The 19,314-nt window shown below is 37.3% G+C and overlaps 1 long non-coding RNA gene across 7 annotated transcripts in view, besides 1 other annotated feature; it reads right to left on the bottom strand.

The window, feature by feature from the left end:
• LOC105375523 (uncharacterized) overlaps nt 1-19,314 on the bottom strand; it is a 459,019-nt gene that overhangs the window by 148,754 nt on the left and 290,951 nt on the right. The window lies entirely within an intron of this gene.
• Nucleotides 17,925-18,125: a silencer, noted in NCBI's record as "peak6757 fragment used in MPRA reporter construct". NCBI's record gives its function as "represses an SCP1 promoter by STARR-seq MPRAs in K562 erythroleukemia cells {active_cell/tissue: K562}" and the evidence as "EXISTENCE:reporter gene assay evidence [ECO:0000049][PMID:32103011]".

Below are 19,314 nucleotides of genomic sequence, written 5' to 3'. Positions count from 1 at the left end.
ACGACTGAACCATTTCTTTCACATTGTATTTGGGCTTTAAAAGGAAATAATACGAGAAATAAATTATTGGAGAATATATTTTAGATGTAGATATAGATGATATAGATTAGATGCAGACACAGATATAGATATAGATGATATATAGATTAGATATAGATGTAGCTATAGATATAGATATAGATAGATACAGATATAGGTAGGTTTTCTAGACCAAAACTTAAATTTCCACAAACAACAGGGCTTTGCCTAGCGGATGTTGATTACAGCTGATAGAAAAAGATATTTGACTGAGGTCTTAAGGCTCTGAATCTTGACTAGCTGACACTGTAGCTGGTAATACTGCGTAGGGAGGGAGCACTAGGCACAGAACATTCTCCAAGGAAATAAAATGCTCTATTATTAGTTAATTATTTGGAATCTAAATATCATTGTAAGCTACTGCCTTGGTAAACTGGATGCTGAAAGTTCAGGGGGGTGTGGTATTCAAATTACCATTTCTCATGTGTCCCCTCCAGGAGACAAACATAAATAGCTAGCTAAAGGTGAGATCCAACTACCAGCTTTACTGGCAATAAATCTGGATGAAAGACTATTGCAAGGCCTTTTATGTCACTCCCTGTGTCATCAGAGCCACAGTGCAGTAGCTATGCTCCCTGTTAATAAGGCCAAGCAGCATCCAAGTACTCCCCATTTTCACTAATTGGATTTGCCTCACTCTCTCCATTGGAGGAGGAAATTGGATACAAGTTTCTCTGATACTGTTTCCTCCTGGAGAATGTAACAGCAGCCTCCATACGTAAATATAAGGATAGGCCTGTGATATGTTCCCTAACACTGGGCTGGATGAGCTATGGGCCATACTTGTAATGGTTAGCTTTAGGCTTTAACTAAAATGGGGCTGAATGGCTTATTTCTCACCTCTCTAGAACCAGGTTCACATAAGCAGTCCTTACCAGGCCCACTCCTCTCTTATTACCCAGATCTTCTAGGTCTTCCATGACCAGGAACTCTTTCCAAATAGAAGTGCACCCCAACCCATCAGCCAGGGAAGAAAAAATAAGGAGAAAAGAGGCTCCAATGATGTCATCCAGTCCTGAGAGAGAGATTTTCCTCCACCCACCAAGACCCACTAATTTCATGATGAAGACATATATTGGGGCACTTCTTTGTTGCCTTTGGAAAGAGAGATTAGGGCATGTACCCTTGACTTCTACCTAGAGGTTATAAAATGCCTCAGACAGAAAGTCTATCACGATGACCAAGAAGAAAACATTTTTTATTCTGATTGAGAAGAATTTAAGTAGACATCCAAAAGGAAGACAAGATTTTCTATTACAATAGGGGAAATATCAGACCCTTACTTCTGATGTTAAAAAAAAAAGATTAACAGCAGATGAGTTTCCTAGTATTGAAAAAAAAAAACATAGTTGAATGTACAAAAAGTCTACACCTATTTTAGCAGATATACCAGTGATACCAGTACATACCATATCGGTTAGGGGAAAAAGTCAAGGTGAACTTGAGACTTAGCAGAGAAGATCAATTTTACCTTGTAAATATCCCTGAGACCTGGTGGTATAGAATTCATTATGAAAACAGCAATCAAAACGTGTATCTTGTTTGAAAGAAATCAATCAAGTACAAATGGAGGCAAAATAAAATTACAGTTTAAAGAATTTGTAATGGAATGTATACAAATATGAGGATGTCAATGCCTAGAAACCATTTGGGTGAAGAAAACAAGGGAGAACTGCAGGCAAGCTATCACAGTGGGAGTGTTCTGTAAGGGTGTGTTGCTGCATGTGTACATATTTAATGTATTTCTGAAGTGGGTAGCAAAATTGGACTTGAGCTTTGTCAGAGATATAAAGAGTGTTGAGGGCGACCATATTCTCCTACCTTCATGATGCCGTAAAATAACTTCTACTCCAGGAAAGGACAGCAGGTCAGTAAAACTTTTATCTCTTCTTCCAACCCCTTATTCACTTTCTTACATAGGAAGAGGAATGAGCTATCCAACTGGTATACATTTAAAAGAATCTGACAATTAATTTACTTTTCTGATTGGAGCAAGATAATGATATAAATGTCAGGTTGACACATATTGGCTTTATCTCTTTGACCCCTTTCTCAGGGCTTGATATAGATGAGACAGTGTTTTCTCTTTTGGATGGATAATTTTCTATCTGAATAGGAATTCCATCTAGATGTTATAGCTCTAACAACAAGAATATCGTGGTGACTGCAAATTATCTGCCTTAGAGACTCTTCTTCCCATGAGATGGCCCACAATCCAAATTTATGGAATGGATCTCAGAAAGCACAATAGTGGTTGCAAGTCCAAGCCACCTGCTCCAGGCCAGATCTAGTAATAATAAAGTGAATCTATTAACCTCATATGTCTGTCATTTGTGTCTATTTCTCTCTTGGACCCCTATAATCCTAATAATGGGTACTTGAGTTATTTCTATTTTAGATTGCTTTGATAATCCAAAAACAACTCTATTTAAAAAGATTTTTTCAGAGCTCTAGGCACACAGCTCACCTTTGTCTTAAGTTGCCTATCTTTTTGGAAGATCTAAATCCTATATCCTTTATAATCCAGCTTAGATGCCACGTACATCTTTGACAAATATAGTCAAACATAAGTTGAGTTTTCTCCAAATTTTAAATTCCTTAGAGCAGGAATAAATGAATCATAAATTTCTTTGTACTTCATCATCTTTACTTTCAAACCTTTTCCTTTCTATCTCTGTCAGCCAAGCTAGAAGCCTCAGAGTCATTCTAGCCTCCTGCCTCCCATCCCTGTTCCTCCATATTTTGGATGACAATAAGTTGGAAGACATTTGTCCCAACCTATTCCAGTCAATGCAATGCCCATTGTCCTGGCATAAGTATTAAATGCCAACTTTTACTCTCAAAAGTACCCTTTTTAAAAGGTAAATTATATGTTCACCCTAAACCCATATCCAACCTTGCCTTCTTCCTATGTCTTAAATTGAGGCCCCCTTTACCCCCATTCTTAAAATATAAGTCCTAGTTCAGACTTTCATCAGTCTCATTACTGTAACAACCTTCTAATTACTCTTTTAGAGGCAAGACTTCAATTCTGTTTTCCACAGCTGCCAGAGTAGTCAGTCTAAAACTCAAATGCATTCATGTCATTGCCTTATTTAAAACCCTTCTACAGCTCCCCGTAGAAGAGCCCTACCTGAAATATGTAGTTTTTTATTACATTTAATATTCTATCAATTTCTTTTTATAAGTCAAACATTTGTTACACCAAAATGCAAGTGTTTACACACTGTATGCTTTTGATCTTTGCCTAGGCTGTCTCCTTTACCTGAAATGCCCTTTCCTCCCATTGCCATCTTTCCCCACATATCTGGTTAACTGCTGTTTATCCTTTAGGACTCAGCGCAAACATCAGCTCAAACCAGACAGCTTCCCTTACCACCCATGACCACCCCCCTGGTTTGGTTGGCAGGACCTTCCTCTATGTCACCATAACAACTTGGATTCATCTCTCTTGAATTTAGAGTACAGTATTTCTACGGTTTACATGTTTGTTTCTCTCCCCAAACTAGGAGATTTTTGAGAATAAACAACCACTTATTCTTGATTTGGGAGATCATGGCCCCAACCCAATGCCAGTTTATAGTGGGTGATCCATAAATATTTTTTACAATATTTATCACAAAACATTTTAAATATACAGAGAAAAATAATACCTCAAGCCCCTACACAGCTGCCACTTGGATTCTATCACTGTCGTTTTCCAAAACTGCTTTATCACATATTTATTCATTCCTCTAATCATTCATCAACCCATCTTGTTTTTAATACATTTCAAAGTAAATTGAAGACATTGAAACATTTCCCTCTAAATCTTTCAGCATGCATATTAACTAAAGTTCATTAGTTGCTCATTTTTTTCTTTTGATACAAGATTTGCATACAATGAAATGCATAAATCTTAAGTGTACATTTCCTGGGTCTTGACAAATATAGATGTATAGGTAAACTATTCATTCTTGATTTGTGTTTGCATCTTTGTCAAACAACAGTTGACTATAATTGTGTAGATCTATTTCTGAGCTATTTCATTACATTGATCTGTCTGTTCTTTCACCAATATCATCTTGATTACTATACCTTCATAGTAACTCTTGAAATTGGCCATTTCTGTCTGTTACCATTTTCTCTCAGACTAAAGAACTTCTGTCAACACTTATTCTAATCCAGTTCTACAGTGGAAAATCCTCTTAGTTTTCTTTTATCTAAAAATGTCTTCATTTTGCATTTATTCTTAAAGGATTTTTTTATTTCTGGATATGGAATTTCAGGTTAATAGTTTTCTCATTCAGCACTTTGAGCATTTTGTTCTAATGTATTCTGGCCTCCATTTTTTTCTAAGAAGAGGTCAGCAATGATTTGAATAGTCATTCTCCATTATATAAAGTGTCAGTTTGGGGAGCCACATCCAAGATTTTCTCTTAATCTTAGGTTTTCTACAATTTGCCTTTGTTTTTCCTAGGAAAGCTTTTCTTTATATATTTCCTGGTTAGGTTTTTATAAGTTTTTTAAATTTGTAAATTTATTACTTTTACCAAAGCAAAAATTTTGGTCATTATTTATGCTCCATTTACTCTCTCTTCTAAGACTTGAGTTCCACTTATGATTAATATTTTCATGTTTTGCCACATGTCTCCAAGCCTCTGTTAATTTTTTAAAATATTTTTTCTGTTCTTTAGATTCAATAATTTCTATTAATCTGTCCTCAAGTTCATTGACTCTTTATCCTGTCACCACCTTTTTTTTAGGTTAAGCCCATTCAGGTAAATTGTTTTAATTTAAATATTGAACTTTTGAGTTCTAGCATTTTCATTTCATTCTTTGCTTTTCTCTTTACTTATCTGCTCCAATTTACTTTTTAAAATTTGTTATGAGCCTATCTTTGTCCTGGAGCATCATAGTACCTACTTTAAAACTGTTGCTTGCTAATTCCAACATTTGGTTAATCTTGAAGTTGGTCTTCATTTACTTTCTTTTCTTTTGAGAATAAATCAAATTTTTCTAATTTTTCTATGTTAAGTAATTTTACATTGTAGTTTGCTGGATTCTGTCTTATTCCTCAAAGAGTGTTTTTGTTGTTGAGTTTGTTTATGTTAGTAGATAATTAGCATAATATGCCACAAAAACATTAAACTCTTTCTTTGTTGGCAAGTTTTTTTTGTTTTGTTGTTGTTGTTGTCTTTTTGTCTATTTGCTTTTGAAGCAGGGTCTCACTCTCTCATTCAGGCCCAGGCTGGAGTGCAATGGCAGAATCTCAGCTCACTGCAACCTCCGCCTCCTAGGTTCAAGCGATTCTCATGCCTCAGCCTCCCTGGTAGCTGGGATTGCAGGCATGTGCCACCACGCCTGGCTATTTTTTATATTTTTAGTAGAGACAGGGTTTCACCATGTTGGCCAGGCTGGTCTAAACTCTTGACCTCAAGTGATCCACCTGCCTCAGCCTCCCAAAGTGCTGGGATTAGAGGCATGAGCCACCGCATCCAGTCTTAATTGCCTGCTTTAATCTAATCCTCAAGTAGGCTCCTTGGAATCTGCCCAGATATTCATGTTTCTGGGTTTAGGCAGAGAGTTGAGATGCCTTTATGGACAACAGTTAGCCTCCTTCTCTCTGGTTTCATCACTTTCCAGAAGCTGTATTTTCTAGAACTTTGTTCTTTGATTCTTCAGACCAAAAATAATTCAGATTTTCTATCACAGTTTTATTATCCTACATCTATATTGGACAAACTGGGGCCTTCATTCAATATATAAACCTTGAAAATGGAACTAATTTACTGTCTTTCCCTTCTCCTAAGTGTTGACTCCCCTCCAAAATCTGCCTGCGTTGTGTTGCTCTCTAGCACCTTTGGCCAGTTTTTCATTTTGTTTTGGTTTCGTCTAGAATTTATAGTTGTTATCTACAGAAGGGTCAGAAAAAGGTTACTCAGACATTATTAGAAGCAAACCTTCACAATTCATAAATATTTATTCTTACTCTCTTACCTCAAAGACAGGGATCTTTATCTCTTTATTTACTGGTATATCACAAGTGCCAAAAATGATGTATAGCATATTTTAAGTTCTCAATAAACATTTGTTGAATAAATGAACAGATGAATGGTTATTATTGCAATGTCTTATATACAAAAAACATCTACCTTTTTCATAGAAAAACTACACTACATAGAATCATAACCCATAATCTCTTATTAAAAGTAACAAGTGTTGACAATTTTTCTTATTTGCTTTGCATACCTTTTTTAAGTTAAAGAGTCATGAAATTAGAAATAAAGTAAAAGACCCCTTAATCTCTTAATTTTTCACCCTAACTTTGAGCTCCAGTGTATATATCTTTGTATTTTAATTATAGAGAATTCATTAATCTTTTCAATTTCCCAAAAGGAAGAAAGGAACAAAAACTATAATAAGTAATTCTTCTTTAAAAAGTTAGGAAAATGACATATTTAACACAACAAAACTTTATGGCAAGTTTTCTCAGCACTAATATATGCCATAAATCACTAAGGGTAGCCAATAGTGGATAGCACTTCCCAAGCACCTCTAACCTAGAACACTTGCCCTAGAACACCTCATAAGACTACTGTTCCTTGAAACTCACTTGGCAGAAAACTAATATGAAATTGTCCCCAATTTCTTAGTTTTTTTTTTTTTTTTTTTTTTGAGACGGAGTCTTGCACTGTCCCAGGCTGGAATGCAGTGGTGCGATCTCGACTCACTGCAACCTCCGCCTCCCAGGTTCAAACGATTCTCCTGCCTCAACCTCCTGAGTAGCTGGGACTACAGGTGTGCACCACCACGCCCAGCTAATTTTTTTGTATTTTTAGTGGAGACAAGGTTTCACCATGTTGGCCAGGATGGTCTTGATCTCCTGACCTCGGGATCCACCTGCCTCAGCTTCCCGAAGAGCTGGGATTACAGGTGTGAGCCACTGCGCCCAGCCGAAATTGTCCCTTATTTCTGATGCAAAAACTTAGGCATTAAAAGCTATCCTCTGATAGATTAATCAGCACGGTATCTCTTTAGTTCTCCCAATGGCATACTCTCTCCTCCATTGAGCCTGGATTTCATTTCTACCTTTTCATTATGTCTGCCTTAAGTAAAGTCAGCCATCATCCTCAGTTATTTACATGTTGATCCAAACATAAAAGAGAATAAAACAGCAGAGCAGAGTGAAGCAGCAATTAAGAAGCCAGAGATATAAAAGGCAATTGCTTTCAAGAGGATTCACCCGGCACACAGAACTTTCTTTCATGATTAAATTCTTTTTGAAATCCTAAATCAAAGGTTCAGCCTATCAGAGAGCTAGGAAATCCATAACCAAAAAAAAAAAGTGCCATTGATGAGACCCGTTTTGGAAATATACTGAGTGCTTTTTGTCAGCATTTGCTACCTAAGCACGTGCGGAAAACTGCAATACATGCTGAGCATTTTCTTTATATACAAAATTCTACAATAAAGTGCCCAGTGACAGAGAAAAAAAGAAATAAAACACAATTGGCAAAGTCAAAGCAAGCAGAATTAATGTCTCCAAACCACAGCCCAGGCATCTCTAGACCCCTGAGGGGATTGGCTGGAAACTATAGCTTTCATTCAGTGCTTTCAGAACTCTATTAATTTTTTTCTGCCTGGCTGAGTCAGGACTATATAAGGGACAGGCAAGGGGCAGGACAAATCCATTTCTAAAACTCTTCAATCAAATCCTGAATAGGCACCAGTAATATTCAAAAAGTAACAACCATGAGTAATAAGTGTCCTTGGAAATCCAGAAGCATTTTCCAATCAAAGACCAAAAACTCCCAAACTAGGTACACCACATATAAGCCAATTAATCAGTTATGCGGGTTCTGCTGATACAGCTTCCATTTTGTGGTATTTCCATTTTTCATTTTCACTTTGAAGCAACTGATGTCAAAAGCAATTTAGAAGATGGTGGAAGACAGTGAGGGTCAGAGGCATGTGTCCTTAGGTCTTTTCTAATTGTGCAGACACACACACGCAAAAGTAGGTTGATTAAAAGAGAAGTAAGGCCGTTTATGCAGAGACCCAGAAGTCTACTTTGTACCATCAGGGCAATCAGGGGAAAATCAAGCCCCCATGCTGACTACAAGTGTTGCCATGAATTAAGCATTTCTCTTTCTTTTTAAAAAGCTGAAAATAATAATTTTCTGATGACAACAGAAATGTATGCCCATGAATGTAATCAGACCTAACAGGGAGGTATAATGAAGGAAGTAAAAATCACCCCAATTATGCATATATTATGTGTTTATTAGTACTGTTAACACCTTGACTTATACTCATGTAGATTTCCATGACACATAAATCACACACTTTAAAAATGTTATAAAAATGGATTCCTCCTTTGCTTGCTGTTTTATAACTTTATTCCACTTGGCTACATATCATGATCACTTTTCTGTATCAGTAAAGTGATTATCATCATTTTGAATAGCTACATCATCATTTTGAATAGCTACAAAGTATTTCATTAATCGGATGCATCACAATTCATTTGTGATGCATGACTTTCATTTGCAGAAAGTCCATTTCTGAATATTTAATGTATCTCTATTAAAAACAATGCATTATAAACATACTGGCTTATACATCCTTGCATACTTATTCCTCGGGGAGGGGGGAACATAGATGTGCAACTTCTGAGTCAAAAAAGCATATATATCTAAAGTTTTTATATATTTGGCTAGGTTGCACTCTAAGGAAGAAAAAAGTTGTATCAGGTTACACTCCCCCAATGGTGCATGTGAATCAAGACTTAGCTTCAGTACTTGAGATCTGAGATGCTTCTTTCCGGAACTGGGTGGTAGGGTTTTACCCACGCTAATAGAGTCCTATCTCCCTGAAAGCAGAGTCAGCCTGATTCATCTCTGTATGCCCCAAAGCACTGAGAATGCCATTGGTTCCACAGTGGCTGCCTAATAAATGTTCTGATAAAAAGGCAAATTTTTTATCATGACCTCTAAGACCCCATAGTGTCTGCCTGCCCCCGTTTCCTTTCCAACTTCTACCACTTTTCTCCTGTGAACTTTACTCCTGCTGATATCTATATGGCTCATACCAAGGTCACATTATCAGCAAGGACTTCCTATTTCAAACTGCAACCTTCCCATCATTCTCTATGCTCCTTCCATTTTATGTATATGTTTGTTTTGTTTTGTTTTTTGAGATGGAGTCTCACTCTGTCTCCCAGGCTGGAGTGCAGTGGTGCAATCTTGGCTCACTGCAACCTCCACCTCCTGGGTTCAAGCGATTCTCCTACTTCAGCCTCCTGAGTAGCTGAGATTACAGGCATGCGCCACCACACCCAGCTAAATTTTGTATTTTTAGTAAAGACAGGGTTTTGTCATGTTGACCAGGCTGGTCTCAAACCCCTGAACTCAGTTGATCCTCCCGCTTCGGCCTCCCAAAGTGCTGGGATTATAGGCATGAGCCACCACACTTGGCCCTATGATATATATTTTTTCATCATTACCTTTATTATCATGTAGCACTGTATAATCTGTTTATCTTGTTTATTTTCAGCTTACACTAATCAGAGCAGGAATTTTTGTCTGTTTTGTTTATCGCTATATTCCCAGCACCTAGAAGAGGTGCTTAGTAAATATATGTGAAAATAAGAAACTAATTTATTAAAATAAAGAATGAAGATATCTACAAGCAGAAAGTTAATTGCTGGAACCATAAATGAGGGCACAAAGAGAGAAAACATACAGAAGATGAACTCAATAAAACTAACATATACACCTGTGTTACATTATCAGAAGTGTACAGGCATTCAATATGTATTTGAAGTTGGAAGTGAGAGAATACAGGTAAGCTTGAAAAGTTTACCATCCACTTGGGGATATAAAACACATGTAATATTTTCATAAACTCCACAGTGTAAAGTAAAAATAAATTATAAAGTCAAAATTAATATAATGTCAATATTGAGGAGGTACAACAAGAGCCACAACTGATGAATAGAAAAGGTGGTTTAGAAAAGAAGGGAAATGGTTCAAAAAGGAGGTAAAGATGTGAATGTGTGAGCAGGTGTGTTCATTGCATGGAAGAGCAAGTGAAGAGAGCTTTTTCATTTACTCATAAACATCAGTTAAGCATATTTTTATATTCAAGACATTCAGTTGGAACAGGGAAACAAGACACAAACGCTGCCCTCAGGGAGTCTATAACCCAGGTGGAGGGGAATATGTTGTTAAGTACCATTGTGATACCACTGGGATACTAACCCAGGTGAGTAGGTGAGTGAGAAAGGAGGCATTGATACGAAAGGCAGTTTATGAGCTAAGTTTTGAAGGTCATGTCAAATAAGAATTAACCAGAAGATACGCAAGGAATGCTTACAAGGAAAGCGTGGTGCTCGTGGAACAGCTGGCAGGGAAGTCCATCTGAAGCTGAAAGGCCTGAAACACCAGCAGTAAGACATGCCGGAGAGATGAGCGTGCACAGGGATGGGACAGCTTCCCTCCTGGATCTGTCTGAACGTGGGAGCCAATGGGCTCCGTAGAAGGTATTAAGAAGAGCAGTCATGCCGGGCATGGTGGCTCACGCCTGTAATCCCAACACTTTGGGAGGTGGAGGCGGGCGAATCACGAGGTCAGGAGATCGAGACCATCCTGGCTAACACCATGAAACCCCGTCTCTACTGAAAATACAAAAAAAATTAGCCAGGCGTTGTGGCGGGCGCCTGTAGTCTCCGCTAATTGGGAGGCTGAGGTGGAACTTGCAGTGAGCCGAGATCGCGCCACTGCACTTCAGCCTGGGCGACAGAGCAAGACTCCATCTCAAGAAAAAGAAAAAGAAAGAAAAGAAAAGCAGTCATACAGTCAACTTTAATCTTTAATAAACTCATCTCACAAATTTTCAGACATATAGAACAGAATAAAAAAGAACAAGAATCTGCTTAACAGGACCTGAAGCCTCTGCCACAACTATGGAACTAAAGTAAAAGATGAAAGGTGAAATTCAGCCTTTAGCTCTCAGCAGGGCTGCAGCAGTGGGTGCCCCAGGTGACAGAGGGGGCCAATAGCAGAGGGCACCGTGTTAGGAAGGCGATCCCAGCTGCTCCTTCTAGAAAAGCCAGGAAGCATTGTGGACAGAAATCAGAAGATACAGGGTGGGATTCGGCTTATTTTCAGGTCAATTCCTTTCCACTTATAGTTTCATCTGTTAAGTGATTCACAGAATATCTGATCAAAATTGACTTTTATTGAATAAGGAAATAAATATGTGACAAACTACAAAAGCCTCCCTACCTTGTGTCATTTATCATCATTTTTTTTCTCTATTGCAACAAATAGGGGTGGGGACGATATGAAAAACAGCTGGCCTCTAGACTGAGCATATATACTATGCACTTATGCACTAAGAAAAATGTTTCATAACAACAATGTATCTGCATGCCTGAATCACCTGGAGAACTTTTAAAAAGTACTGATGCCTGGCGGGCGGATCACCTGAGGTCAGGAGTTGAAGACTAGCCTGGCCAACATGGTGAAACCCCGTGTCTACTAAAAATACAAAATTAGCCAGGTGTGGTGGTGGGCGCCTGTAATCCCAGCCACTAGGGAGGCTGAGGCAGGAAAATCGCTTGAACCCAGGAGGCAGAGGTTGTAGTGAGTCGAGATCACTACACTCCAGCCTAGGCAACAAGAGCAAAACTCCGTCTCAAAAAAAAAAAAAAAAAAAAAGAAGGAAAAAGAAAAAAAAAAGTACTGATGTCTGGGTACTATCCCCAGAAACTCTGATTTAGTGGGTTCAGTGTGGTACCTGGGAATCAGTAATTATAATTTACCTATTAAATGTCCTAAGAAATCTAGTGATAAAAATAAACTTTGACAGTGTATTGCCAAGAATTTCCAAAATGTATTTCACCATGAGTTCGTTTTCTTTCGCAGATCGCTTATTAACATCTAACAAACTACGAATCTTCAGCCAAATATAATTTGAGAAGTGCTAGTGTTTCTTTTTAAAAAATTAAATGTTCAGGAAAAATTGTATACATTTATCACTGTTCCATATTAACCATCAATCATATTTAAATGAAACCTGAAGAAGCACATTGAACTTTCATTAATCCTCCTCATTAGGTATAATTGTTTTCAGACAAGTGTTAAGCAAATAAACAAGAATGAAGATTCCTCTTTTCTGCCAGAGACTATGAAATGGAATTAAAAGTCCACTACCCCATGACTGTCTTTTGCTCACCCAGTTGAGCTACAATAGATCCTGCTCCAGGATAGCAAATACTTCCTCAAAGCAAATGTCTTAATAATTTACAACTCCCCTTCATTTTTTTCATGACCTATGGCACAGCTTCATGATCCACAAAACAACTAGCCCACGTAAGTCACTTAATAAATATTAAATAAGCCCTTTGGAGGCAATGCATGGTAGGGGAAATAGCACATTCTCTTGCAAGAGCCAGTCTGAGTTTAAATCACATTTCCAGTACTTATTAGCTTTGTATCCTAGGGCAAATTTACCTCTCTGATCCTGAGTTTGACTAATAAAGTGAAGATACCCAAAATATCTAATTTTCAGGCTTGTTGGGAGATTAAAATGTATATACGTAAACTGCGTCACAAATAAGGTGCCCAATAAATTGTTGTTTGAATGAGTGGTTTCTAAAGTAATGACATGGTTATTTTTTAATCAGAAACTGCTTTAAAATTTTTGCTGAGTATCATGTCAGAGAAGGTTTAAAATAAAGTTTTGTCCTCTATTCACAGGTCATTTTTAAAATAGTTGTGCATTCTGCAGGAAACTCAAAACAAGTTATCAAAAGTTCCCATAGCAATACTGCAATAGCCTCTAGCATAGCTGATGTCATAGACATAATCATAAATCATTAGTTTTCTGTTCCTGAGCAGATATTAACAATGAGCTTCTTTATGCTTCTGTTTATACAAGCATATTAATGCCAAGGATACGTGTATGCTGACACATGTGGGCGGCCAAATGGCTGGGGTTATTGATGAAAGCAAACATATAAATATGGCTGCTCTCAGAAAATTCTTTCATGCAAGAATATTGAAAGGTCCCAGAAGTGGGGAAAACACTGCAATTATCTGTTTCAACTCAGATCTAATACCCAAAATTGTCCAATTCCAGAAGCTCATTTCTTTGTGTAGATGGCAAAGTTATTTTATTCATGTTCTTAGAGACCAATTGTTAAGTGACCTGTAGTGTAAATTTAATGAGTAAGGAAGGAGTCCTATCTCAGAAGATAATTTACATTACTACTTATTAAAGATTTTGACTGTGACAGCTCACCTTTCAAAATGGATTCCTGTTGTATGCCGCTTTAGAGAGGTATTTGAAAGAGATGGTTTTTCTTGTCTCTTATTCAAAGTTCCCTGATGCTGAAGAACCTTTCAATTGCTTCCCTTTGGGTTAGAAGTCACAGCTGAAAATTCTTGATGTGACCTTGAGGGCCAGCTTGCTTACCTTACTGACTTAAATGCTTGCCACCAGCCCTCCCCTCACCCCCAAGTCTCCATACTCCAGTCATAATAAACTATTCTATCCTCAAATTCTCCTGCCTGCCTGAGGCCCCTATAACCTTCCCTAGGAATGTTCTGTCTACCCCTCCCTGAACCTAACTAGCATTTATTCAACTTCCCTTGAGCTCTTTCCCACTCCCAGCTGAGTTATATATCCCATATTAGTGACTCTCATGATAATACCTTTACAACACTCACCATCACTTACTCCAGACCTACTTTCCTTTATAAGCTGTGAGCTTCTGAGGGCTGGGACTGTCTCTGTCTACTTCAACACTACCGCCAGCACCAATACAATTTATTTCTTTTGTTATTTGTTGTAGTTGAGATGGAATCTCACTCTGTCACCCAGGCTGGAGTGCAGTGGTGTGATCTTGGCTCAGTGCAATCTCCGCCTCCCAGGTTCAAGCCATTCTCCTACTTCAGCCTCCTCAGTAGCTGGGATTACAGGCACAAGCCACCATACCCAGCTAATTTTTGTATTTTTAGTACAGATGGGGTTTTGCCATGTTGGCCAGGCTGGTCGTGAACTCCTGACCTCAGGTAATCCTCCCACCTCAGCCTCCCAAAGTGCTGGGATTACAGTTGTGAGCCACTGCACCCGGCATATTTCCCATACATAACTGAATATGGTGAATGAACAATAATTTCAGGAAGAAGTTGAGCTTTTCATCAGCTTTCACTTTTTTTCCATCTTGTTATTTACCTCAAAAAAGGAAAAGCAGAAGAAAGAATGTGCTACCTGTGGCGTTTTCTTATGTGAGCTGAATCTTAATCTGAGTAATTTCACAGGCATCAGTCAGAGCTTTTTACTTAAAGTGGTTGTTGCAAGAAAGGCTTTAATTTTTAATATTCTACTTCTCCAAATAATAAGAAACATAATCAGCATTTCATGTTTGTTCATTAAAAATATATGACATGTGTAATTATTAAACCATCATAATAGAGACTGAAAACAATTTATTAAGTAAACACAATTTAAGTGACTTACCTTACATACTTTTTAATTAAAATAAGCCTGCTTTTATAAATCAGCTGTCGGTTAATGCTTTTGCTAATTTTCCTCTGCAAATCTGCTTTACCCCCTTGTTATATTTTGAATGAACCAAATGCATACAAATAAAACAAACTTTCATAATGCAGAGATTTTAAAAATGCAATTGATGCAAGACTGTTTTTACTTATCTCAAATGTTGCTTGATGAATACTAGGTTTAATACAAGGGCAAATAACATTAGATTGAGAATATCTAGAATAGAAAGTCTTAGGAGATGATAGCACTTTTTCATGTCTTATTTCATTTCAGAACTTACGATTTACTTTGTTCTTGATGTGTGTATACAGCCAAAACTATTCTCACCTTTCTCTTCCATGATGACTCTCATCCACTAGCTCGTAAATGCAATAAGAATAAGGTGGTGGTAGAGTAAAAAGATGAGAGATACCTTTGAAAAAACTAAGAAATAGGTTTAAAGTGAGAGAGTCAGTGTGTGTGTATGTGTGTGCGTGTGTGTGTGTGTGTGTGTGTCTAAGGCATGATCCAGAGTGGAAATAACTGAGCCGTGAGTGATAATTGAGAGGATAAACAAAACCACATGTGCACAACCCCTCTGAGGAATAAGAAGTAGATGGCAGACATGAAGTGTCTCATCAACGAGCTCTCAGCCCAGCCCACCAAGTAGACTTAAAGACCCAGGAAAAACAAGTTGCTCCCTGGAAAGGAGCAGTTGTGAAAGAGTTAAGCAAGAGACTAGTCAGCCTCCACTTTATCCTCTTTAGTCCTTTTCATTCCAGTTCAGACAGAATTTGGGATTGGCTGATTCATTATGTTTTTGAAAAAAGAAACATCCTCCAAATTAAAAAGAAATCTTTTTTTAGTCCATCCCTCTCCTGAGACTTTCATCTTAATGGAAAACATTGGCCAATTATTTTTTTCTACAGCCAGCCCCTTTAAGATGTTTCTGAAAATCTACATTTTTAAAATTAGTTTATTTTAAAAATAAATTTTACATAAATATCACTGCTTTATGAACTGTGGAAAGTCTCCTACTCCTTGACATGAAGCATTATTTATCTTAGGCAATGAAATGTAAAGCTATTTTTTTCAGACATTGATTAGTTCTCATTTTGAACCCATTTACATTTAAACCCGTTCAGTTTGTGGGTTGTTCATTAATTCAGTGAAAGAAAGGAGGAAGGGAAAGGAAGGAAAGAAGAAGGAAGGAAGGAAGGAAGGAAGGAAGGAAGGAAGGAAGGAAGGAGGGAAGGAAGGAGGGAAGGAAGGGAGGGAGGGAGAGAGGGAGCGAGGGAGGGAGGGAGGGAAATAAAGAGTATAGAAAGAAGAAGAGAGAAAGAGAGAGAAGAAAGAAAGAGAAGAGAAAAAGAGAAAGGAAGAAAGAGTATAGAAAGAAGAAAAGAGAAAGAAGAGAAAAATAGAAAATAAGAGAAAAAGAGAAAGAAAGTGAGAAAGCAAGCAAGCAAGAATGCAAGCAAGAATGAAAGAAAAAGAAAGAAAGAGAGAAAGGAAAGAAAGTGAGAAAGAAAAAGAAAGAAAGTGAAAGAAAGGAAGGAAGGAAGGAAGGAAGGAAGGAAGGAAGGAGGGAAGGAAGGAAGGAAGATTATTTAGGTAACATATGTAGAAAAACTGGAGTGTTTCCTGTATATCCACAGATCAGACAGTTATTCCCAAGACATATCAAATGTTTTCCTTGGGTTATAGAATAATGATGCTTTAGTCCAAATCCTCAGCATGATCACAGGAAAACTAGAGTAAGTCTGGAGGGACTCTGTATGCTGAGTATTTAGAAGTCATTAACTTCAGAGGGTGGACTTCTTTCTACATATCATTAGCCAGTTGCTAGAATAAAGAAACTTACAGTTGCTTACACAAGGCTAATAAGTCCTGTAATCAAGATTTAGTAAGGAAATATAAAATATACTACTGAAAGAACAGAGAAGTTCATTCTAATGGGAAAACTTGCTACTTGGAAGGCTACAAGATCATGACTCCTTAGGAGAAATTTAGAAAGGAGTCACTTGGTCTAATGCATCCACATTTAAGCATAAGTACATTAAAGGGTTCATATAGCATCTAAATCTTCCTCAAGAGAAAACCCTTGAAGTCGGAGCACTTGGTTTATCTGTCTGTTAATTATGTTGGTATACAGAGCAGAAGTTGAGTTGAGAAAAGAAAAACATTATTATTTCAAGAAAAGAAAACCATTATTCTTTCAGGTGTTGAGACCACTGAATACCAACCACAAAGTTATAGAAAGAAGTTTTGTAAAGATGTGAATCCCATTACATCAAAGCCCAATAATCAAGGCTATTAGAAAAACTAGGAAATAATTCCAAATACTAGAAAGAGATAATAGATTTTACCTCCTTTGATTTAAAGCTCATATCTATTTATGCACAAGAAACAGTACACAGTTGATGCAGTCTTCTAAACACATGCACTTAAATGTCAGATTACATAGAAGATTATGGAAAGCAAATACAAAAGAAAAGGAAAAATACTGGGAAAGACCTTCTCAAATGTAACCAATGTTTAGTGGATCTTGTAGGCATTTAGAACTGCCACTGTCATGACTGCTTGTTGGGTTTGCTCAGAATCTCTTCCTCCTCTTCTAGTAGGAGCACCCTTCTCTCCTGCAGCACCACCCCTCTTAAAATCCACAGTCAGTCTTGATGCCTGGCCCCACCTGCCAAAGGGATGAAGGATAATTCAGGTTTCACCAATGAGAGGATATCATTTTCTTAAGTAATTTTTTCAAGGATGGGCATCTAACACCAACATGGTCAATTAAAGTCTATCTTGAGCTTTGGTGCTGACAGAGACAGGAACTCTCTCTTTTGGTGGGTTCACAAACAGTAAGTGCATACTTTGGGCTACCAGAGCCCATCTCTCCTAACAAATGGCTAGAACCTGCATGAAAAAGACAAAAAGTACAGAACCATGAAATGGAGATTAAAATAGAAATATGATCACATTTTTCAAGCCCCTGGATCAAGTTGTGCCAAAACTATCCAGACTGCCCTGTAAGATGAGCCACAAAGTGCCCTTCTCATTTGTTTGTGTTGTGTTTCTGTCACTTGCACCTGAACAAGTCCTGATTACTACAACACAAATGTGTTTCCATGGTTAACAGCACTGACAGCACCAAATGTTTAATGAAAATACTAGAGATAATTTACTAATTTCTATAATAAATGCTACAAAAACCAAATGATCGAAAATCTGAACTCAAACTTCCTATTTGAGCTCTTTGGTATCATAATATCACATGTGTATAGAGACTTTCTTTGAGATTTAGTATCATGGCGATCCTAACACAGGTTTGCAAACAGCAGTTTGTGTGTTCTGATAACCATTGTGACATTCTCTGGAGATAATTCTGTTTTGTTTTGCTTTCCCATAGCCACAGATGGCATCCCTGACCCTTTTCTTAAAAAGTTACTTACGCATGCCTTTTCTCAAAAAGATGCTTAAGTCCTTTGTAACTGTGAGGACAGAGATAACATGGATAAAACTAAACTTTTTAATGGAAAACAAAGAAGGGCTTTACTTAGGATAGGTTAACAGATAGGTCAACAAAGTAACCCTCCTATATGAAGAACACAGCCTGTATAAGACTTGTGTGAATTGTAATGCCTGCTTAAATTTTTCCTTCAGTATCATGGGAGACAAATAAATATCTCTGTTATCTCAGTTACTGACATTCTTTGTGCTATAAGGAGGATATGGTAGAAACCTGGACATGACCTAAAGGATTTTTTTTTTATTCTAAAATGGCATACATTCCTAAGAGGCATATACTTCTGTCCTAAATTCATATATAGCCTTCTCAGGCCCTTAACTTTTAGCCGTAGTCTATATTTGGTGGTCATAGATGTTGTTTTTCAAAGACTGTGACTATATAAGTTATCTTGAATCTAGCAAAATAGGCATCATCATTTTCACCCTGTAAATGGGAGTAATTCCATAGAGCGACTCTGCAAATTATATTGTAACCAAACCACCCTGCTTAACCAAATCTTACCTTTTACTATCCAGTTCTGAAAAACTTAGAAAGAATTTTGTTCCATGTTCTACCTAGTAATGACCGATATCCCTTAACTCAGAGCCCCTTAGAGCCTTATGTTCAGTTGCAAAATTGCTGAGAAAGCTAGAAAGCAGAGCAAAGAGCTGAACTGCAGCACCCAGGCTGTACGAAAATTGGGGAGCGCTGTAGTAACCAAGCGACAGCAATTTGTTTTTTCCTCTCTTCTTAAGCCATGCCTCCAATGACATATACATCCTAGAAAATGAAGCAGTATTATAAAGTGGCTAATAGTCCCCTGTCCTTCAGAATCTTTAAGGAGAAATTGCCACTGAATTTTATTAGAACCTGTTTTTATGGCAATTTATACCAAGAGCCATAAAAATGTATCATTCCCCATCACCAAAAATTCCACTCCTGGGAATGTTTCCTAGGAATATAATTTAACAGAAGGGAAAACTAAATGCACGATAATGTTATTTATAGCTTTAACTAAAATAGCAAAGCATCAGAAGTAATTTACATGTATAATAACAATGAATCTTTAAATAAATTACTGTGTATAATTCAATGGAATATTACACAGCCATAAAATTATAATTATACTGTTATGATATAATATTCAGTGTAAATGTATAAAAATGTTATATTCATTATGATTACAACTAGAAACA

The sequence above is a fragment of the Homo sapiens genome, chromosome 7 (assembly GCF_000001405.40).
Source record: "Homo sapiens chromosome 7, GRCh38.p14 Primary Assembly".
Taxonomy (NCBI): domain Eukaryota; kingdom Metazoa; phylum Chordata; class Mammalia; order Primates; family Hominidae; genus Homo; species Homo sapiens.
Note: the sequence above shows the minus strand (reverse complement) of the source record. Positions and strands in the feature narration are given on the sequence as shown.